At 40.3% G+C, this 23,416-nt stretch overlaps 1 protein-coding gene across 12 annotated transcripts in view; it reads right to left on the reverse strand.

The window, feature by feature from the left end:
- The window catches only part of CCDC175 (coiled-coil domain containing 175), a 71,746-nt gene extending 57,738 nt beyond the window's left edge, over positions 1 to 14,008 (reverse strand). For 10 of the 12 annotated variants that reach the window (XM_011537124.4, XM_011537122.4, NM_001164399.2 and 7 more), the window contains exons 1-6: positions 13,815 to 14,008; positions 12,139 to 12,224; positions 9,898 to 10,009; positions 5,441 to 5,576; positions 2,243 to 2,471; positions 933 to 1,055 (exon numbers count right to left, since the gene is read on the reverse strand). In XM_011537124.4, the coding sequence (XP_011535426.1) occupies positions 933 to 1,055; positions 2,243 to 2,471; positions 5,441 to 5,576; positions 9,898 to 10,009; positions 12,139 to 12,224; positions 13,815 to 13,971 (843 nt within the window). In that variant the 5' untranslated portion in view covers positions 13,972 to 14,008. Of the gene's footprint in view, positions 1 to 932; positions 1,056 to 2,242; positions 2,472 to 4,050; positions 5,384 to 5,440; positions 5,577 to 9,897; positions 10,010 to 12,138; positions 12,225 to 13,814 lie in introns of those variants that run through there. The other 2 variants (XM_047431746.1, XM_047431747.1) reach the window with 2 other exon arrangements.
- Between the last annotated feature and the right edge of the window lie 9,408 nt (positions 14,009 to 23,416).

The following is a 23,416-nucleotide window of genomic DNA, read 5'->3' on the forward strand; positions in this document are numbered from 1 at the left end:
TATAGCCTTTCTATTTTCCTATAGGCTTAGTGCTTCCTTACTATGTTGAAATTTAAAAACAGATAATAATTTTTCAAATGCACATATTTGGGAGAAAATTTTCATTTTATTAATGCTTTGTAATTGGATATCATAATAGATATATTGTAATTAAAATGAGCAGAACCACCCCATATAAAATATTCAGTTTTACTGTTGTACCAGTATAGGTTTGCATGTGATTTTTCAAGACACATAGAAAAAATACACTAAAGATTCATTAGTTCAATTAATTGTGATAAGAAGTTAACAGGCATTTTTGTTTTAATTAACATACAAGTAGTATTTACATTAACCACTTCAATTATAGTCACCTCCATAAGCTTATGTTTTCTTATCTTTAAAATAAAGATAATCCTCACAAAATACTTACCACAGTGTTGCCTTTCAGTAAATGTTATCACAATTTTTTTGACAGAAGTACAGAGCTCTGATGTATTTTCTAATTTAAATAGACAAATGGTCTCCTTTACATATTAATGTTGCTGTACTCAATAGAGAGCCTAAACTCTGTTCTATTATTCCACATTCAGAATTAAGGACTCAGCCCATGGTTATTCATTTTGTTATACAAAATGAAGCAATCTCATGGAAATGTTATATGTATCAATACATTTGGTTAGTTCTGTATATTTTTTTAAATCAATATTTTAACAGTATTTTGGCCCATCAAATGCAGTTTGTATCTAAGGCATTCCACATTTCCTTCTTCCCATCATATTCCTGAAGAGGAAACCACAATTGCACCATAACGCTTTAAAGAAAGTGTCAGAAAATGTTAACGTGCAGAAAACATCCTCTCAGCATGACATGAAGATGAATTACAATCAACTCCTTTTTTATTGAGGTGCCTAGATAAGGCTTAAAAATATATATAGTTTATTCTTTCTTACCGCTGCGGAAACAGTAACTGTTTCTTTTATTTTTGACATTTTAGTTTGTAATTTATCCAATTCTTTCTTCTTTTGATAAGTCTCCATTCTCTTTACTTCACGGGTATTTTCAAATTCATTAATCTATAGTGACAAGCATAAGAAACCAATTTAAAAAGCCTATTAGCACAACAAAGTTTAAAAAATCTTTTAAAAACAGTGTCAACCTAATTCATATTTAATCTAAGTATAACATATTCAAGTATAGTAATAAGTAAAAAATAAACCTAAAAACCAGGGTTTCCTTATTTTGCAGTATCACAGGAAAAAGCATGAGCCACAAAGGCCAAACTGTAATTATTGAATATTGAAATAGTAAATTTGTAAGAGCAATACTAACAATGATTGTTAATAACTAATTATAAAAGTAATTGCCACGGTAGTGATTTAATAGTAAATCACCACAGCAGTGGTGACCGGATTTACAACGTACTAAGCAAACAAGAAGAGTCGAAGGAAGGATTGAAGAAATTATCTGGGAATCTAAATTCACATTATTTAATGGGAAATAAAACCAGCTAAACACAGAGTAAACAAAATCATCAAAGACAGAGCAGCTTGTAATCCTGGAAAACTTCTTACCATTTTATCACAGTGCCACTTGTTAGACCCTAATGAACGATGTCACCCTCTTATCAAAACCACCTCTCCCCCAGTCAACCAGAGCAGAACAAGGAAGAAACAATCATAACAGATCTGATGCTGAATTTTAATTAACATGGCACAGCAGGCAGTTCAGCTCCTGCAGTGGCAGAAAAAGATGCAGTAGTTATCCCTCCCCCACCCTCACAAATTTTGCTGCTCTCGAAACATTGTTTTCTCTTTAAAGCCCTCAGTTCTGCCTGGCCCCACTGCATGCTGCTGCTCTCTCTGATTCATTTATCAGGAACAGCAGGGCTGGGCTGGTGCCCTATCTGAATACCCTAGTCCTGTCCATACAGACACAGTCTCAGGGTTATCAAAGGCAACTGGATAAGATGGTAGCCTATTCCTTGTCCCTGTATGGCAGCATATAAGCAAGGGGACACCCCAGTGTTACAAATCCTGTCACTTATATTCTTACCCATGAACTGAGATGCTGCTACCAATCAAATGTCTTCCCCAAGAGCAGAAGTGTCCTTGAGTCTCCCGCTCATCCCGTTTTCCCAGCGCGTTCACAGAAGATACCACAGAGGCTGCTTGCCAGCCTTGAGGACAAATAAATTATTTCCCATTTCCTGCTCCAGATTCTATACATTATTGTATTTTAAAGAATAAATCATGCCACTTACCTGTGCAGTCAACTCTTGTTTTCTTATTAGATATTCTGCCCTTTCTTTTTCCATTAGCTCCTCTGCCTCTTGAATACATTTTTTTTGCAATGCTATGTCTTCTCTCTTCAAGTTTATTTTGGTATAAGTCTCATTTATGTAAACAGTGGTGGTGGCTTTTTTCTCCATAGTTTGGTTGAGTGACAGGACAAACCTTGCATGCTTCCTTGCTAGCTCTTCCTGCTTCTCCCTGGGAGGAAAGAATTGCTCACAGAGTGAGAAGCACAGCTCCTAAGAAAGGAATAGTCTGTGTGGTGAGAAGAGCCCTCAGCAAGAGGAAAAGTGTAAGGAATACTTATTTTATGACTGTGTTTATGATTGTCTAAACTTGGTTGAAGGCCAGGTGCAGTGGCTCATGCCTGTAATCCTAGCACTTTGGGAGGCCGAGGTGGGCAAATCACCTAAGAGGTCAGGAGTTAGATTGCAGCCTGGCCAACATGGTGAAACCCTGTCTCTACTAAAAATACAAAAATTAGCCGGGGATGGTGGCGTGCTCCTGTAATCCCAGCTACTCGGGAGGCTGAGGCAGGATAATTGCTTGAACCTGGGAGGCAGAGGTTGCAGTGAGCCGAGATCATGCCACTGCACTCTAGCCTGAGTGACAGAGTGAGTCTCTGTCTGAAATTAAAAAAAAAAAATTGAGATGAGGACAGAAGGAAACACAAAACAAGCATCAACCTTGCAACTTTTACCACTTTTGAATGTCACGTGGCCTTGCCTCGCCCCACCCGTCCCCAGATGCCAGGTAGTGACCACAGGGTATTTTGGGTTAAAGTATACAATGACTCAAAAGTAATTTTGAACAGGATCTGAATGGGATCTGGCCAGATGAGTGTTTTGATATGTATTGTCATCATGTCTATCTTATCATCCTGAGATAGGCTGTTAAGCTAAAGAAAGAGAAATCTCATCACATCTCCAGCCACCCTGGATGCTATAGCCCTGCAGGCAGGGCCCAACAGAAAGCTCACCTTCCTCTGGATAGAAACTAGGGAAAGAAAAGAGTCTATCTTTACTGTTTGAAGGATGCCTGAAACCTAATTTGAGCCCTCTTACCTTCTCCCAGCTGTAGCCAACTCTGAGCTCAATAGGAGTCATTAACCTCACACATCCATTGCGGGCGGTGTCCATCTAAGGAAGACCTTAAGATTGTCTGAGGAAGACCTTAAGATTTTGTCTACCCAGAGGCTAACAACAAAAGGTTTACAAAAGGGACAATTGGTGCCATTTCTCTATTTTCCTTTTTAAAAGCTCCTGCAATGTAAAGACCCTTTTCCTTTTGCTAGTCCTCAAGGCTAGTGAGTTTCAGAGGAATTGTGTTTGAAGGCTCAGGAAAATAAAAGCAGGCTGCTGGGAAGTTTGCTTTCAGAGGTCAAACTCCACAAAAGAAATGCAATAAAAAGAAGTCTAGGTGAGAGGCTCAGTAGGTGGTCAGATAATGGGTGCTTTGTGGATGCAGCAGAGGAAGCCTTCTAAGAATGAATCAACTTGAGGACTGGAGCCTCGGGGAAACAAAGCAAAATAAGTGAAATCAAAAAACCTCACTAGGTGTGTTGTGATGGGCTGAGAAGAAAAGAACACTCACAAACACAGTGTGGAGCCTCAGGAAAACACATTCAAACAGCTGCTCTGTCTGTATCTAGTTTTTGAAATTTGCCCAGGACAGGAGACATACCCACCACCTGTCAGAGTCTGTGAACACTTTGATATTCATTTCTCTTTGAAAAAATGATGCAACAAATGATTGTAGCTTGATGATGCCAACACACCTGCCACCACCTTCTGTTTGTTATTGCCTTTCCGTAAAGATTTGTCTAGAGCAGTGGTTCTCCCAATGTGGTCAGGACCAGCAGCAGCAGCATCACCTGTCAGGAATGCAAATTCTTATCCCCACCGCACTCCTCCCAGATCTGTTAAATCAGCAATTTTGGAAGCAAGTCCCAGTAATTTGTGTTTTAACAAGCCCTCCAGATGATTCTGATGCAAGCTCAAGTTAGAGAATCACTGGTCTATAGGAATGTGATGTTGCTGACCGGTTGATATAAATATCTAGCCTGGGTATTATTTTTCTTGCTATTAGTTTAGGAATAGTCTAGTTTATGTAGCAGGCTCTGGCCATGGTGGCTAGCACGCACCACACACAAATCTGTATTGTGAATCCCCAACAGGGATTAGAGTATGTGGTATTTCTCAAACTTATGTAATCATGAACTTTCTCTTTTGTGGAGCATCTCCCAGCACAGGTGTTCTGAGAGCCTGGTTTGGGATCAATGTCCCTGGGTCTTGAGGTCTCTAGCTGATTTCTGATGTTTATTATCTGGGACACCAGGCAACCCTCTGATTATTTTGGATTCCCAAGAAGACTTTTTTTCCCCTATGATAAGGGCTCTTTGTGAACATTTCTCACTCTGGAAACTAACATGCTGATATTTATGATATTTATTAAAATTTATCAAATTTTCTCATAGGGGTAATTCTTCAAGGGGGCCTATCTTTCAGAATATATCTCTTCCTTTCATGAGCTAGCAAAGTTAAGAGTTGTGATCCCCATTTCACAGATGGAGAAAATGAGGCTCACTAAGAGGTGTCAGATCTTGAGCTATAGGCAGTTTCATATATTATCTCATTTAATTACAGACACAATCTGGAACCCTGTCCTGGGAACCAGCCTCATCCTCAGTCCTTCAGTGGATTACAAATATGACTAAATATCTTCAATGAACTGAACTAGATACAATAGGTCTGGTTTGACATTAGATTTACAATATAATCCCTGCAAGATTTCTTACTTTGGTGGTGGGGGTTTGTAAACTTAATTCTACAAAAATGGAAACTAAACCCATTGTGTGTCTACCTTTGGATGTAGCATTAGAGGTAGTGTGTGATTTACAAACAGTAGTTGCTGCTAGGAAGCTGGATTGCCTCTGAAATATTACAAGCCTCCTGGCTGCTGTGGTTGAAGATTTTCTGCTCTCCTCCTCAGTCCTCTGTAGCCACCACCTTCCCTACCCCATCAGCCTGGGCCATCTCCTACAAGCCATCTTCACCTCTCAACTCGCCCTGCCACAGTTCAGATCAGAGAGTAAACCCCTCCCGACAATTTTCCCACTCCAGCCTCAGACCCCTGCTCCCTCAAATACTGAATATAAGAATACCTACCCCAGAGCTTCATTATATTTTGTCAGGTCAGTTATTTTCTTCTTCAGAAGCTCTATTTCATTCTCTGTCCTTGTAATTCTCATTTTTATTGTATTTATCTCAAAAAGATTTAATCTGCGAGCGTCTCGGACACATTCTTCAAAGTAAGTGGAAATATTACTACATTATTTGAGGAAAAGCACAACTGTAGATACTGACTTTCACGCAAAAAAGCTTTCTTTGAAATATTCTTTTAATAATGTTTTTTATCAAGCATTTCTTACTCCCTTGGTCCCTCTCAATCTTACCTACTAATTATTTCTCTTATTTCTGCTGCTGCTCTGGTAACCAGCTTTCTGTGGGCTTGGATCAATTTCAGACAGGTGCAGTCTGATAGTGCCTGATTCCCGCCCGTTCCATGCACTTCTCACCTCCTGCCTAGGACTTCTGCAACTTCTACATGGGGCTTCTTTATGCACCCACACCCATGCATGTATAACCCAGAAGTACAAGAGGTAGGGCAAGCATCAGACCAGTGATAGACAGGAGCTGGTGCATAAATATTTCTCCCTCTCTCGCACTGATAGATAGTCCTGAGAAGAAGTAACACTGGGTCTTGGGGGCTTCTTCTCATAATTAATTAGTTTCAGTTAGCAGCAGCCAACATCATAATCCACCCCATATTTGCTCTCCCTTGACCTTGCTTTGGTCTCCTTATCCCATCCTCCTCTTTGGATTATACTCCCTAATAAAATAATAATGCAAAAGCCATTGCCTCAGGCTCTGCTTTTTGGGGGAACCCAATGTATTAAAGAAATAATTATTCATCCATAAATAATAAGTCAGTGTAATCACGTATGACTTCAAAGGATTATCTCAGTGCATGACAGATGGTCAATATGCATGAATTTTTGAACACTGCTGTTTAGGAAGGTGCTGGACTACTCATTTCTACACAGCAAACTCCCTAGAAACTAGCTGGTAGCTCTCCTGAGAGAGCTAGGACATTTTTTTTCTAGGCTACTAGTTAAATTGCTTGTTGCAGCAGGCTTTCTCAAACTTTGTGTCTCAAATATGCACATACATCATCTGGAGATCTTCTTAAAATGCAGCTTCTGATACAGTGGGTCTAGGGTGGGCCCAGAGATTCTGTATTTTCTCACAAGCTCTTACATGTTGCTTATGCTGCTGAACCAAAGACCACACTTTGAGTAGCAAGGACTTACGACATAAGGCCAACTAACTAAATTTGCATGGTTAAGCATTTAGCATGTATCAAGGACCTTATAAGCTATTATGGTATTTTCCCCCTTCTAAAATATGTTTTTCTGATTATAAAAGCAACCCAATCTAGAAACTAAAGAACAGCAAACAAAGAAAAAGAAAAACACTCTTAATTCTACCTTTGGTGTAGATTCTTCTAAATCTGATTTTCTTTCCCTGCATGTATAGTTTGTTGTATTTTCCCTGGCAAACTAGACTAACACCAAGCATATTTTTTTAAACCCACTCTATCAGTCAGGGTCCAATTAGGAGATAGAAATCTCACAGTAAATTGAAAAGGGAAAGTTTAATAGAATAAACAGAGGATTAGAGTAATTAGAGTATTAGGGAATGGGTGGTAAGAAGTGAAGAGAACTTGAAAGCATTCAGAAATAGCAGACCTAAGGAGTAGCCACCATCCCTAGGGCTGAGATACGGTGCTCAAGGAAACAGCACCTGGAGACCTGGGAGCTAGGCCTCATTAGAGAGGCTGCGTCTCATTAGATCGTAAAGAAGTTCATGAAATGCTGGGCTGATGGAACTTGCTGGAAATCTGCTCTCTGGGGGTGTTAGGGGTACCTGCCCACAGAGAGGTGCCATGCTTCAGAACTCACTACAAAACTACCCAAGGGGGTGCCAGAGAAGCTCTTCATGCAGAGGTGCCTCATTGGTGGCTGAAGCTACTCAAGGGGTACTGGTGGAAGCTGCTGGGCACTGTGGACTGCTGGATGCTGCAGGACCATGGCCTGGAGAAGTTGCACACACTGCAAGAGTCAGCCAAGCTGAGCACACTGGAATCAGGAAGAGAACCCCTTCCTCCTCCATATCCCTCCTATGCCCTCTGCTGACAAAGCTGAACATTGTGCCAGCTGGTAAAGGGGAAAATTTACAGGGTCCAGCTTCCTTATCACAAAGTAGAGGCAATAAATGGCTAACTGGAAAATCTACCTTTTTTTTTTTACTTATTAAGACCACTCTTTTTAGGTTGGGCTCTCTGGGAAACAGATTATAAAATGTGTGTGTAGAGCATTTATTGGGTAGTGCTCTGAGGAACATCTCTTTGGAGGAAATAAAAAGCTGGGCAGAGGAGGAGGTTAAACTGTGATGAGCTTTGGAGCTATGATGATGCTCTGGAGTTGTTCTACATTGAGGCAAGGGAGCCAGACCTTTATACCCTCATAGTGACCAATCATGAATGCGGGTGGCAGGCACTGGGGAGAGAACATAACTTGGAATTAAGCCTCTCTCTTTTGTTTTTGTTTGTTTTTGTTTTGAGATGAAGTCTCGCTCTGTCACCCAAGCTGGACTGCAGTGGCGCAATCTTGGCTCACTGCAACCTCTGCCTCCCGGGTTCAAGCAATTCTGCCTCAGCCTCCTGAGTAGCGGGGACTACAGGCATGCGCCACCACGCCTGGCTAATTGTTTTTTGTATTTTTAGTAGAGATGGGGTTTCACTATGTTGGCCAGGCTGGTCTCAAACTCCTGACCTTGTGATCCACCTGCCTCAGCCTCCCAAAGTGCTGGGATTACAGGCGTGAGCCACCTTGCCTGGCCCCTTCTCTCTTTTGTTGAAGGTAATTCCTGGAGAAGAACTCAGCCAACAACATTCCTGGCTTCTGGAGAAATAAAGTTTGACCCTTACCCCAAATATGAAATTTACCTAAAAAAAAAAAAAAAAAAAGAGATCGAAGACCTAAACATAAGAGCTTAAACTGTAACACTCTTAGAAGAAAACATAGGGAAAGCCTTCATGGCATTGAATTTGGGAATGATTTCTTGACTGCATCAAAATTTAAAACTTTTGTGCTTCAAATGTCACTATCAACAGAGTGAAAAGGCAACCCATGGAATGGGAAAAAAATTTGCAAATCATATATCTAATCAGTGGTTAACATTCAGAATACATAAAGAACTCCTACAACTCAACAACAACAAAAAAGAACCTGATTAAAAGATGGATAAAGGACCTGAGTAGACATTTCTCCAAAGAAGATGTACCAAATGGCCAATGAGCAGACAAAAAGAAGCTCAACATCTCTAATCACTGGGGAAATGCAAATCAAATCACAATAAGATACCACTTCACAGCCATTTGGATAACAACCAGATAAAACAAAAACAAAAAAATCTGGAAAATAACAAGTATTGGCAAAGATGTAGAGATACTGGAACCCTTGTGCATTGTTGGTGGAAACACAAAATGGTGCAGCCACTGTTGAAAACAGCAAGGCAGATCTCCAAAATATTGAATATATGACTCTGTAAGATCTGACCCCAGTAAAAAAAAAAATTGAATGTACAATACAATCTAGCAATTCTGCTTATGCATAAATATACAAAAAAAATTGAAAGCAGGCACTTGGATACAGGTGGAGTATCCCTAATCCAAAAATCTGAAAACTGAAATGCTCCAAAGAACATTTCCTTTGAGCATAATTTTGGAAATGCTCCAAAACCCCAAACCTTTTGAGCACCTACATTATGATCAAAGGAAATGCTCAATGAAGCATTTCAGATTTATGGATTAAGGATGTTCAACTGGAAAGTATAATGTAAATATTCCAAATTCAAAAAAAAAATCAGAAATTGGAAACACTTCTAGTCACAACTGTTTTGGATAAGGGATGCTCAACCTGCATTTGGATACCATGTTCATAACAGCATTATTCACAACAGCTAAAAGATGGGAGCAACCCAACTGACAATTTGCAGATGAATGGATAAGGAAATGTGATAGATACCAACAATGGAATATTATTCAGCCTTAAAAAGAAAGGCAGTTCTGACACATACAACAGTATGAATGAACCTTGAGGATATTATGCTAAGTGAAGGAAGCCGGTCATGAGGACAAATACTGTATGATATTACTTATATGAGGTACCCAGAGTAGCCAAAACTCAGAGACAGAAAGTAGAATGATGGTTTAGGCCAGCCAAGTTGCCTAATTTAATTGGATAAATACCAATTTGGAATGGGCTGATCCATTTATCTATAGTCTATTTAGAAACCAAATTATATAAATTCAAGTGTTATATATACTATTTCCACTTAAAATATAAAAGAAAATTATTACGGACCTTACTGTGTTTGTGTCATGTATGCTTTCTAGCTCTATCTTACATGAGCAATAACTATGAAACTTATCTTGTTGAAAGTACTTCATTCTGTTATAAGATCAACTAAATTTCTAGAGTTGATAACCTCAAAAGTACCTTCCAATTCCCTCTTAATGCTATTGGGAAGAGTTTCCAATAGATAGTATAGTTTGTTGAGTTCCATGCTTTCAATCTCCAAAAGATCGATTGTGGCTTTTCTCATTTCTTCCTGAAAATTTAAATTACATTTTTAAAAAGTTAAGACACTAAAATAGTAAGATTGATTTCCTAAACAATGCCCTACAAATGTTTTCAGGGGTCAAAATATAATTTCACTAAATATCTTCTGCCATTATTTTTATTTGGAACAGAAACTGGGAAAAGTATCTACAATCACTATTTAAGGTGTCTGTTAGTTTATCTCTTAATTTCTATTGATTTTATTCTACTGAGAAATTATCTTTTCTTTATGAGTATCTGTTTCTTATATGCAGTTTCAATCCATTTAAAAGGAAAGACTAACAAAAATAGTAATATTGAGAAAGAAAGCTACTTATTAAAATATGGAAATTGCCTATAAAAATATGCTTAGGTATAAAAAAAATGGTTTTCTCATACACACCTACAAACCCAAACAAGTAGGTAAAGCTGTTATTATTACTTTTAGCTGAGGCTACTTTAAGAAAGGAAACACTGCTAAGAAATCAGTTGGTGGGAAAAAATAGATAAATCATCTTTTAAATAAACTGTCATAATAGCTATAGCTATTTTATGACCTGAGAAACTGCCATTATATTTTATGAATTATAAAAAGCAGACTATATAATTACATATATAGCATCATCACTTTTCTGTAAAAAATGAAATTCAATGCAGTTATCACCTATACCCTGAAAATAGAAAGTATATTCATCAGCATTAATAGTGATTATTTTAATGTGGTCCTTTTGCTTATCTATTTTTTCTTAATTTTTCAAAGTCAACATGTATTACTTTTAAAAATAAAAGGATTGATCTGGTTTTTTGTTTTTTTGTTTTTTTTTTTTTTGAGATGGAATCTCACTCTGTTGACCAGTCTGGAGTGCAGTGGGTCAATCTCAGCTCACTGTAACCTCTGCCTCCTGGTTTCAAGCAATTCTCCTACAAGCCTCCCAAGTAGCTAGGATTACAGGCTCCCGCCACCTTGCCAGGCTAATTTTTGTATTTTTAGTAGAGATGGAGTTTCACCATGTCTCGGCCAGGCTAGTCTCAGACTCCTGACCTCAAGTGATCCACCCATCCTGGCCTCCCGGAGTGCTGGGATTACAGGCGTGAGCCACCATACCCAGCCTGATCTCTGTTGTTTAAGAGATTTCACGGCTCAGATATTAAATGAATACAGACTAGATACTTTAACCACAATAAATATTTTGGCCTCTTAAAATCCTAGCGAAAGACATAACTGAAAGAAAGAACCAAGCAGGGAAAAATGTTTTCACAGCACCACAGAGCTGCACAACACACATGATCCCTCAGTGTTTACGTGTACCTACTCAAGTAGGATTGTAAAGTATGATTATGTAGTATAGATATATATATGTGTATAATTATATAAAATATAAAGTAGTAAGAGTTTTATCAGCAGTCTGTGGATTCAAACTCATTTACAGCCATATTTCAACATTTTTAGCAATTTGATATGTAGTAAATTCTTATCCAATATTTTTAAATAAAATGGAGAGCCTTCACTACTCTGACTGTGCCAAGGAAGCATTGTCAATGTGATCCTTGGCCGAACAGAGATGTCTGTGACACCTCAGAAGGAAATTCTTTAAATATTTCTTCAACATGTCTTTGATAGGGGCCAGTTAAGTGTAATTGAAAGAGTTTCTCTTTGTTTTCACTAACAGTACCGTCTACTTCAGTGGAACATATGTCAAATAATCTTTGACCAGTTATGCAAGGAATTGCTTACAGAGAACTGAGTTAATTAGCACCATGCTTGCAATTTATTCCAGAGATTGTGTGTTTGTTTGTTTTAAGCAATGCTTATATATTGGTGTCCCAAGCATTTGCCCATGTGGTCCACCTCTTAACTGAACCGTATTATCACCCACATTGCTTTCTCTAAATGAGCTTGCCCTCATCCACAGCCATAAGCCCATAATTTAGTTTTCTTCATGGAAAATCAAGTAACAATCCACAGTTGATCAATAATTGTGCAAATCCTTACAAAATTGAGAGAAAAATATTTTTAAGTTCAGGGTAACTATATTCCCTAGTCATCTACTTAATACTTTGAACAGAATTGGTGCGAAATGAAAGTTTGAAGAAATATGTGGAAGATTGAAGAAATGGTTCTTATAGATAATACAATACCAATTTCTTAACAGCTACAGCAATGTCCTTAAGAAAGATCTTAGCTTCTTCATTACATTTAAAATAGTCACTTTGCAGTGATTGTTCTGAAAAAAAAATTAGAAAATAAAGATCTCTTATTTATCTATCCAAATCCTACTTAACCTTTTATGATCTAGCTCAAATGCTTACTCGGCTGGAAGTTACATCTTCAGTCTCTGAATTTTTATTGTACATTACACTAATCTCTTTTGTACTTATTTCCTATTCCATAATGTTATAATTTAGGTATATATTTTATGCTCCTTGAGGACAAATGTGCTGGAGATTTACATATTAATATTTTATAACTCAGGGCAAGAGGGTGTAATGATTTTTTTTTCCTATGAAATATGTTCTGAGTGTCTAGACATTAACAGAAAAATGTATTTGTACATAAGTACTAGGGTTGCATTGGCATGCCGATCTAGAGATCAAGTATGAAAAGAGTTCAAGGTTCTAGGTCTGTCATTGACAGTGACCTCAGATACATGTGAATAATTTAGGTCTTAATAACTTTAGGTCTCCTCAGTGGGTAACATTCCTTTTTTTTTTTTTTTTTTTTTTGAGACGGAGTCTCGCTCTGTCGCGCAGGCTGGAGTGCAGTGGCACCATCTCGGCTCACCACAACCTCTGCCTTCTGAGTTCAACGGATTCTCCTGCCTCAGCCTCCCGAGTAGCTGGGATTACAGACGTGCGTCACCACGCCCGGCTAATTTTTGTATTTTTAGTAGAGACGGGGTTTCACCATGTTGGCCAGGCTGGTCTCAAACTCCTGACCTCAGGTATCCACCCGCCTCGGCCTCCCAAAGTGCTGGGATTACAGACATGAGCCACCGCGCCCGGCCAACATTCTTCATGATAACATTTACCCAAGCATATTTGCTAAGAATTGTGAAATTAACCTAGCGCATTTAAGAAGGAAAATAAAAACTATCCCAAATTAATAGTAACATTGTAACATAAATCAATACGATTATCTTGAAGAAATGGGATGATTCTAGTGAAGCACTGAAATGTTTTGTTGTTTGGCCTAAACGGTTTTTGCACCGAACAAGAAACACCCTTTCTTGGATTGTCTTACCTTAAGCTTAAGTGACTTGATTACAGGTTCAGCTTTCTAACTGAAAAATACTTTAACCTGGCCCTATCCAAGGTCATTTTCTATTAGAATCTCCTAAACAACCCTTTACATCTAATTTTTCTTGCTCAACACAACAGAAGCCTCTTAAACACTCCCTTTCCTATTTGCTTGTTAAATTCTCCAGTTTGCCACGGCAAAATGTCGGAGGAAGTTAACTTGTAAAGGAACGGCAAGAAGAGAACTGAAATCGAAGGCATAATCTAAATGCAGGTGTGTAATCAGGTCGCAGGCATAGGGCAGTGGCTTGGGAGTCCCGGATTTGTCACCTCAGTAATTTAACTACTACTGAGGGTTGAGCGAAGTCACCTCAGCTGCGCTAGGGCAGGAGATCTGGGCACTTGGTCCCACCCGCCACCTCTCTCTCCCCAGCCTCCAAGGAGCGGGGAGAAGGCTCTGCCCTGCCCAGTGATGCCCTGGTTCCGGGAGGAGAGTCCCCGCTCAGGGTTCCCGCTGAGTGCCTCCTAAGCGCCACCTCTGAGGAGACGTCCCTTCCAGCGCCCGAGGGGCGTCTTACCCACAACAAACAGCTGCTCCAGCGCCTCGACCGCGACCGAGGAGCCCAGGGTGGAGGGTAAGGTGCATAACTCCAGGGAGGGGCCAGTGGAGACGGCAGCCGCCTGCACCAGCTTCTCGCCAGCGCCCAGCCCTGGGGTCCAGGGGCTCAGGGCCATTTTGCCGCTCTACTTGAGCGCCTCCTAAGCCAGAGCCAAGGATTGCCGGTTGCCACGGGCAACGAGGACACCGAGGTCGTGGGGCGCCCCCTCGTGGCCCGCACCTCTAGTAGGTACCCTCCTGGTTCTCTAATTTTATCCACGATAATTAAGCAGTCTGGGAAGAATGACTCTCTCTTTAGCTAATTTTTCCCCTTTCAATTTCCATTGCGTTAGTTCAGGCCTGTATCTTTTTTGTGGGCCACTGGAATCATAATAATGATCACTTTTGAGCGCATCTTTGTGCCGGATACTGCAGGAGAACCTTTATATACAGTAGCTCACTTAATCTTCACAAGGACTTTGTGAGCAGGCTCTTTTAGTACCTCCACTTTTACAGACACGTAAACTGAGGCGCGGGCGACTAAATGAACGGCTCAAGACCACAAGAGGATAATATTGGATTTAAAGTGACGTCTGGGCCGGGCGAGGTGGCTCACGCCTGTAGTCCCAGCACTTTGGGAGGCCAAGGCGGGAGGATCACCTGTGGTCATGAATTCAAAACCAGCCTAATCAACATGGTGAAACCCCATCTCTACTAAAAATACAAAAATTAGCCGGGCGTGGTGGCGCGTGCCTGTAGTCCCAGCTACTCAGGAGGCTGAGGCAGGACAATCGCTTGAACCCGGGAGGAAAAGGTTATAGTGAACCGAGATCTCGCCATTGCACTCCAGCCTGGGCGACAAGAGCTAAACTCCATCTCAAAATAATAAAATAAAATAATAAAGTGAAGTCTGTATGACTCTTTCTACTATGCTACAAAACCTTCTTTTGTACTAATTTAGAACTTTCCTTGTATCTAGTACATCACTGAGCACATTTTGCCTTGAATCATAGTGATTTTTCTCTGTCTTCCCATCGAACTGTGAGCTCTGTGATGACGGGGACAGGAGGATATTATTCATTTTTCTCTGCATCTCCAAAATTCAGCTTAGCATGAGGCTTAGGTTGAGTCTGTCAGTTCCTTTTCCTCTGGTGGGTTAGAGAGAAGCAAAGGTGATTCAACCCTCCTCTTCTTTTCTCTACAGATGGCAAAATTGAAATTAGAATGATAGTAACAATGACAATAGCTATCAATTGTTAAATGCTTATTTTGTTCCAGGCACTGTTTTAAATACTTTGCAGTACCCCATTTAACCCTCACAAATAATCTTTTGAGCTAGGTATTATTGCCTGCTTTGCAAGTGAGGGCACTGAGCTACATCCTAAACCACTGTGCAACACTGCCTTGGAGGGGACACAGCATACCAGTAGCAGAACTAGTTCTAGAATCCAGGCCTCCTTCATCCAGGGAGTGCCATATTTTGGTGTTGGAAACCATCCTGGACAACATCCTCCTTTTTTGCTGGATTTGGTCTATTGGTATTCAAATCTGTTCCTGCCCTTCTGGGCCCTCCTCTGTGTGGCAGGAGTAAGAAGACTGGATATGAAATTTCCTGGATGTCCTTGCCACCTGTTTTCTTGGTAAGTTCCACTAATGGGAAACACTTGAGGGAGATTAGAAGGCCGAGAAATCATGCATTTCTGCCTCCAGAAGTGGTAGTTTCAGGCTACAGTTGACTGTAGGTCCCAGCAGTTTTGGTGGCTCTAGAAGTGGCAGGAGTAGGAGCCAAGTGACTCCAGCAGTCTCCAGCTGCTCAGCACTATATGTGAGCTTGTGCGTACAGTACAGGTGTTATGGCAGCTCTGATGTCTGGGGTCTTCTTTATCTTCTTACCCTTTGGCTTCTATACCCCTTGTAACAAATTCCTTGTGATATACTTCTCTCTTCTGGAAATATCTAGACTGGACTACTTCAAGGCAACCCTTAAGCTGTCACCAGAAGACTCTTCTTACATATCGCATCATTTGGATCACATTGCTCTCCATTATCTATGAATAAAGGCTAATCTTAAGGGGGCATTTTGTGTCCTCCCCACTTACTGGATTTGTTACAGATTTTCTTACATTTCTCTATTTCCCTTCATGTCTCTAATACTTTCTTTTTCCCTGAACTTTGTGAGAAAGTTACATGTACATACACATACATATGTATAAAGTGGGAAAAGCAAGTTGAAAAAGAAACGTACAGTATTCAATTAATATTTAATTTTTATAAATTAAATATTTTGTGAGAGATGATCAGCTTCTAACTTGTCTCATGGTTCCTTTTATATGGGATGCCCTGTACAAAATTCAACCACAATTTTTCAAAGGAAACTTTATAAATTCTGAAATAGAAATCTAGGCAAACAACATGAATCATCACTTAATAAAAGAAAAAAAATTCCGAGAAACATACGGAAAGAACATTTACCCTCATTAGCATTCAAAGAAAAATAATACTCTCATTTTCTCATAATATTAAGATTAAAAAGAATAATACTTCAAAGTATTGACACTGGGAATATGCATACTATCTGAAGGACAATTTGGAAATTTGTGTAAGGAGCCTTGACATACAGTAATTCTTCTAAGAATTGTTCTTAAAGAAATAATCACAGGTTTGTCCATGGGCATAGGTATGAACTTGTTTATTGCAGTCCTGTTTTAAATACTGAAAAATAGCCCAAATGATCTACAGTAGGACACTGTTGTTAAGTAATTTATGGGACATCCATGCAGTGGAACAATCTAGAAGGCAATCCGCCATGTGGTTAAGAGCTTGGGTTCTGGTGGATTTAAATGCGTTCCACTACTGATTGGATGGAGTATCTCCTGAGACAGCCTCCCAGCTCATGCTGCCAGTGTCTCAGCTCTAAAGGGGTGGTGACGGTGATAGGAGTTCTCAGTTCATAGGATTGTTCAAAGGATTAAATTAAGTGAGCACATGGTAGATACTTAAAAAACACTAATGATAAAGTAATAATAGGGTACCTATTAAGAATAATGGGTAGAAATTTACATGTACATACACATACATATGTATAAAGTGGGAAAAGCAAGTTGAAAAAGAAATGTACAGTATTCAATTAATATTTAATTTTTACAAGTCCATATATCTATAGAGATGTATATAGGTATATCTCTATAAACATATGCATAGAAAATGGTCTGAGAAGAATTGTTCACTAAAATGTTACCTGTAGTTATTCCTGGTTAGTGAAATTATAGATGTAATAGGTAAAATAATGCCTCCTCAAAATGTCCACATCCTAATCCCTGAGACTTGTGAATATATTAGGTTACCTGGTAAGGGGTAATTAAGGTTGTAGAGGAAACTAAGATTGTTAATCAGTAAACTCCGAGATGAGGAAAGTAGCCTAGATTGTCCAGGTGGGCCCAATGTAATCACAAGAGTTGTTTTTTTTGTTGTTGTTTTTTGTTTTTTTTTTGAGACGGAGTCTCACTCTTGTCACCCAGGCTGGAGTGCAGTGGCGCCATCTTGGCTCCCTGCAACCTCCGCCTCCTGGGTTCAAGTGATTCTCCTGCCTCAGCCTCCTGAGTAGCTAGGATTACAGGCACCCGCCACCACGCCCAGCTAATTTTTGTATTTTTAGTAGAGATGGGGTTTCCCTGTGTTTCCCAGGCTGGTCTTGAACTCCTGACCTTAGGTGATCCGTCTGCCTTGGCCTCCCAAAGTGCTGGGATTACAGGCATGAACCACTGCGCCTGGCCACAAGAGTTCTTATAACTGAAAGGTGGAGGCAGGAGAGTCAATATCAAAGTCAGAGAAAGATTTGAAGATGCTAAGCCGCTAGTTTTGAAGATGGAGGAAGGGGACCATGAACCAAGGAATGCAGGTGGTCTCTGGAAACTAGAAAAGGCAAGGAAACAGATTCTCCCTTAGACCCTCCAGAGAGAATTCAGCCTTGCTGACATCTTGATTTTCACTAAGAAAGACTCATTTTGAACTTCTGACCTCCAAAATGGTAAAACAATACATTTAAGTATTGTTTTACTTTTAAATTTGCTTTACTTAAAACAATAAATTTGTATTGTTTTAAGCCACTAAGTTTGTGGTAATTTGTAACAGCAGCCATAGGAAACTTTAGAAATAATGGACACATAAAAAAAGATTTCTCAGCCTTCACTACTTACAGCTGGTGTGCACTTGGCCAAAATGCATGTCCTTTTCTCATGTATTTTTACTTTGGTAACACAAACAGATACATTTATCTTTCAGGCAGTATTTTAAAGAGGACTTTTGCTGAACAGCCAGTATGACATTGAGAATCCTCCAGTCTGGTGCTGACATAGATTTTTAGTTATCATAAAGCAAGTTTGTTTCTGTTTAGCCCTTGCTGCTGTTAGAGCCAGGGAAAGAACCCAACTGATCCTTGGAGTTTGGCCCCTAACTTGCACAGGAATGAATACGATCATATGTTCTGGCAGGTTTGCAGTCTCTGTATGTGAGGTCTATATCGTATTTGATGATAACATTGCTTTTACAGCATCTTTGCATAAATCTAGTATCTCTAGGCAAAGTCTAAACTCCTTGGGCCTAGACCCTGAGTTAGATCAAGGCAAGGTTCCATTCTTGGTAGTTGGGTCAAACATCTCACATATAGAAAGTGGTTGCCTGTTTCACTGCTTTGTGCATGTTATCATTTCATCATCAAGCTTGTTGCCTCATGGTCACAGATGGCTGCTGCAGCCCCAGACATCCCACCCTTGTGCAAAGGCAGGGAGAAGTGGAAAGGAGCCACATGTAGAAGCTCTTCTTCCTTTTCCTCAAGGAAGAAAATCTGCTCAGAGTCCCATACACTTCCTTTTATGTCTCAGCGGCTAGAGCTGGATCCCAAGGCCACCCATGAAAAAGCGGTTAGAGGCAGGGCGCGGTGGCTCACGCCTGTAATCCCGGCACTTTGGGAGGCCGAGGCGGGTGGAGCACGAGGTCAGGAGATCGAGACCATCCTGGCTAACACAGTGAAACCCCGTCTCTACTAAAAGTACAAAAAATTAGCCAGGCGTGGTAACGGGCGCCTGTAGTCCCAGCTACTCGGGAGGCTGAGGCAGGAGAATGGCGTGAACCCGGAAGGCGGAGCTTGCAGTGAGCCGAGATCGCGCCACTGCACTCCAGCCTGGGCGACAGAGCAAGACTCCTTCTCAAAAAAAAAAAAAAAAAAAAAAAAAAAAAAAAAAAAAGAAAAGAAAGAAAGAAAAGAAAGAAAGAAAAAAAGAAAAAGAGGTTAGGACAGTGAGAATCTGAATTTCTAGCCTCCCTGGGGAGGCAGTGGGAGAGAAGAGGGTTCAGAAGAGCTGGAGGTTTTTCCACAGGATGTCAGCCATACATATGTTGTCCAAACTATTATTTATGAACCCTGACATCAGTCCCTTGTGATGCTGGGTGACTTACCTAGCTGGCTGGGTGAATCCTTCTTAGGGGCTGCAAAGGCTTCGTCCTCCCACATTGTGTACTAGTAAGATTTCCCCAGTTTAAGCCTTCAAGTTCGCTTTCCTCCTCGATGGTCTGCAAGAGGTTTATATATTCAACAAAGATTTCCTATCCCTTGGGATTCTCACAGCTTCTAAAGTGTCTGTCTTGTGGTCAGGCTATAATTCTCATCTACAGTGACTCCAGCATATGGGTATTTTTGTGGTAAAATGGCAGGAAGATTATGTTCCCCAGGTAGTGCCAGATTGTTAGAGAAGCAAACAGATGGATTGGTGCCTCTGATGGAGTTATGCCAAACAAGGAAAGCAGGGCATCTCTGAAGAAGAACAGACCATGTCGGTGTTTGTAACAACTGACTAAGAGGATCCCTTTTCCATTTTCTTTCTTTGTTTTTATCTATCTCCAGCAATTTCTTGGGGCTAAACAGGTTTGGGACATATATTGGTTGCGTTATTTGCTAGAGGTTTTAGACTGGCTTAGACTCAAGCCTCCATTCTTCATCTGTACAATGGGATTTTTACATATTGGGATTATGAAGATTAAGCAGAATAAAGATGTGCTTACCGCAGAGCACAGGCTAAGTATTTTTCATCTTTTCCTCCTACCAATGGAAAATAAAAAGCATTTCTTCTGAAATAGAAATGCGACTCTCCTTTCTGCCATCCCTAGGCTTCCTTAAGTCTCTTGGTCGTTCAATCCTTAGTGAAAATTTCTGTAATTAAATCAACCGTCACTGTCACAGAGGTGGGAAATTGGTTTTATTTCCATGCCATTGTCACTGGATGGCGTGTTTGTTGTGTGCCTACTGTGTGCTGTGTCCCGAGCATGTATTATACAAAAGAGACCTATAGGTGGCGCCAGGGGAGGCCCCGCTGAGGAAGAGAGAGGCAAGAGAAAGAGGATGAGGCCTGCCTGGCCAACATGGCGAAACCCCGTCTCTACTAAAAATTCAAAAATTAGCCGGGCGCGGTGGCGTGCGCCTGTAACCCCAGCTACTCGGGAGGCTGAGGCAGGAGAATGGCTTGAACCTGGGAGATCGCGCCATGGCACTCCAACCTAGGCAACAAGAGCGAAACGCTGTCTCAAAAAAAAAAAAAAAAAAAAAAAGGAGGAAGTAGAAATCCGGAGCTGCCAGCTGCTTCCCTTCACATGATCCTCTTTCTAGAGCCCTCCCCATTCCAGGGACTACGAGCTTGGGCAGTGCTGTTTTCCCTAGAGGTTCACTTTCTGTTAATCCGGTCGGCATGTGTGGGGCTTTCTTACATACCAAATAGTCTAATCAGTCATTTGACTAAACACGTGGATGAGATTTGTCCCCTGTTCCTAAGAAGACGGCCTTGAAGGTGGGAAAAGGGAGGATTTTGAAGCACACTTGAGAACCAGGTGCAATTCCCTATGAGAAGTGCGGTACCGTAACTACTGCTCACAACTGCAAGGCATTTTACAGTTTTACAAAATGTACTTGCTTCCATGACTTTATCACAACTCTCTGGGGTGATTATTATCATTATCCTATTTTTTGAAAATTACACTTAGATGAGCGATTCAATAACCTTGAGGTTAACACCCCAATCGTAGAATTGAACAGTGGCATGGAAGGACTTCCGACTCCAGGTTGGAGCACTGCCTGCTCTGCCAGAGCTGTTCTGTGGCCCTACAACCAGGGCAGGGAGTTGGTGCTGGGTTGAGGAGGGCACTCCGCATTCTACAGGATGTTAGCAGAGCCATGGAGGTGTGGCCAGTGAGCGTTAGGTGCTTGGAGAGGAAAAGCAGAAGCCCAGCCAGAAACTTGGGTAGTGACTTCATTGTGAGGAGCCTGAATTCCAAACTGAGGAGTTGGATTTTATGCTGCAGATAATATTGCTGTGAATATGGTGCTGATGAACAGATCAGGCTGCTCCCTGCTGGTAGCTGCTTGGTAATAAATCAGTTTATTTCTGCCTAAGGTAACATTTTATGGTAGGATAGGATATCACTTCACAGGCATTATGATTTTTTTCAAGTGAGAATTTGCAGAGTAATTAGAAACTAAATTAGGCCTGAAACAACCAATGCCATATTTAGCAAAGGTACCTTATTTCATTTTATCATTGTTATCTTAAATTACGTTTCAGGGGCCATCTTTGTAGCAATGATTATTTTTTTAAATGCTCATTTAGCATTTTCACAGACAATTCCAACACTGTGATCTTTAAGTAGCAATATTCTTATTTTCCTTATTTTTGTTCTTATTTTTAAAAAGTGTATTTGATGATTCATCTCAAGATGATTCAGTAAGATTGTTGGAGTAGCTAAACTCTACATATGATTTAAAAATCTGTCTTTTTTCTTTTTTCTTTTTTATTAATTTAAAAATGTCACTGAATGACCTCCATATGTGGATGCAGGTAAGAATTTCCGGAGCTCTTTAGGGAAAGTAAAAATACACATAAATAATTGCAGCTATCACTCCCATTCTCTCCCATCTCCTCAGGGACCTTCCTCAATGAGCTCCTGCTCACCTAGGTCTTCCAAGTGTTCCTCAGACCTCCAGCCCAGTGTTCTCTTACTAAACCTAGGCCTCTCATAAACCCCCCTGCCATGGAATCCCCCTGCTTCCCTTCATTGCCAGACTTCTTAAAAGTGTGGTCTACATCTTGGCTGTAATGCATCCTTTTACTCTGCATTCTAAAATGCCTCCTCCTCATCTTCTAATTGCCTTTGCTCAAGCCTCATTCAACTCCGTCTTCTTTCCTGCAGAATCTGACACCCTCGCCCAGCTCCCTCAACGCTTCTTTAGAAACTCACTCCTAATTGGTTCCCAAGACACTGTGCCATTCTACTTTTCTCATTCTGGTTATTCCTTCTTCACATCCTTCACTGGCTCCCTTGTTTTCTTTCTTCTGTTTGCTAAAAGGGGGCATTCTCCTTGGGCTCCATCCTGGTCTTTTTATACTCTCTAAACTCTCCTCTCGCATAGAGGTAAATCTTCACAAATAACTCTCGAGTTGCATCTCCTGCCCATCTTCTCCCCTAAGTGTTAACCTCGAAGAGTAAATATTCTCACTTGGCTATGCTGCAAGCATGTAAAATTTCAGCCTGTTCAAACTCAAAGTCTGCATTGCAGATGGTTTCTCTACCTCTTATTATCCCAATAATCTCTGAGTTTTCAAAGCACTTTGTTCAAACTTTTCATAGGTGATAGTTATCACAGGCTGAGTGGATTTATGGTTTTCTGTGTAATAGCCTTCTTACTTAATATCTTTATAAACTTTATGCCTCAATTTTCTTGTCTGTAAAACTGGGCCTTCATTGTAGGATAATCATGAGAATTAAATCAATTAACATAGTTAAAATGTTTAAAACAATGCTTGGAGCAAAATAAGCCATACCATAAATCTGCATCTCTTGCAGCACCTAGTACAGTCATTTGCACATAATAGATATTTACAATATTGTTGAAAACATAATAGAAAAGATTCATGTGTTCAGAATTTTAAAAAGTATAGGGCTTAATATCTTCTGCAGTTCAGGCCTAGTATTGGAAAGAAAAAAATACTAGGGAAAAAAGCAACTTCCACAGGGTCTTTCACACCACTCTTGTATCCAGGCCAGTATGGCAAGAACTGACATTCGCAATGGTCTTCCTGATCATTACCATTACAAGATGCTGAAGGACATTTTGAATCATCAGATTACATTGTGCATAAAGGTTGCTTCTAAGTAAATTTTATGGCACCAGAATTATTGCCTAATTACTATTTTTAAAGAGGTAAATCTTAGTTAACTGTGATTTTAGTTAATGAGAACTCCTGATTCTCAGCTCTGCTGGATAAATGAGCTTCCGGAGTTACGGAATGAATTGTCACCATGACTCCAACTGTTACGGCTGCTTTTCCTGTTGCAATGTAGATGTGTATTCTGGCTCAGGATGAATGTGTATATAAAATTAAGTCATTATATAAAGCTGCTTAAGATTTGCGTGCTTTCTTTTCTTCCTCTATTCATGGCAGGATTGTTAGGTAATGCCTGGATTTAAGCACTTCCGTCTTTAACCACAAAGGTCAAAGCAGCAAAATTGTGTGTTGAGAAAAATACTCCATCCCCTGC

This window comes from Homo sapiens, chromosome 14 (genome assembly GCF_000001405.40).
Source record: "Homo sapiens chromosome 14, GRCh38.p14 Primary Assembly".
In the NCBI taxonomy this organism is placed as follows: Eukaryota; Metazoa; Chordata; class Mammalia; order Primates; family Hominidae; genus Homo; species Homo sapiens.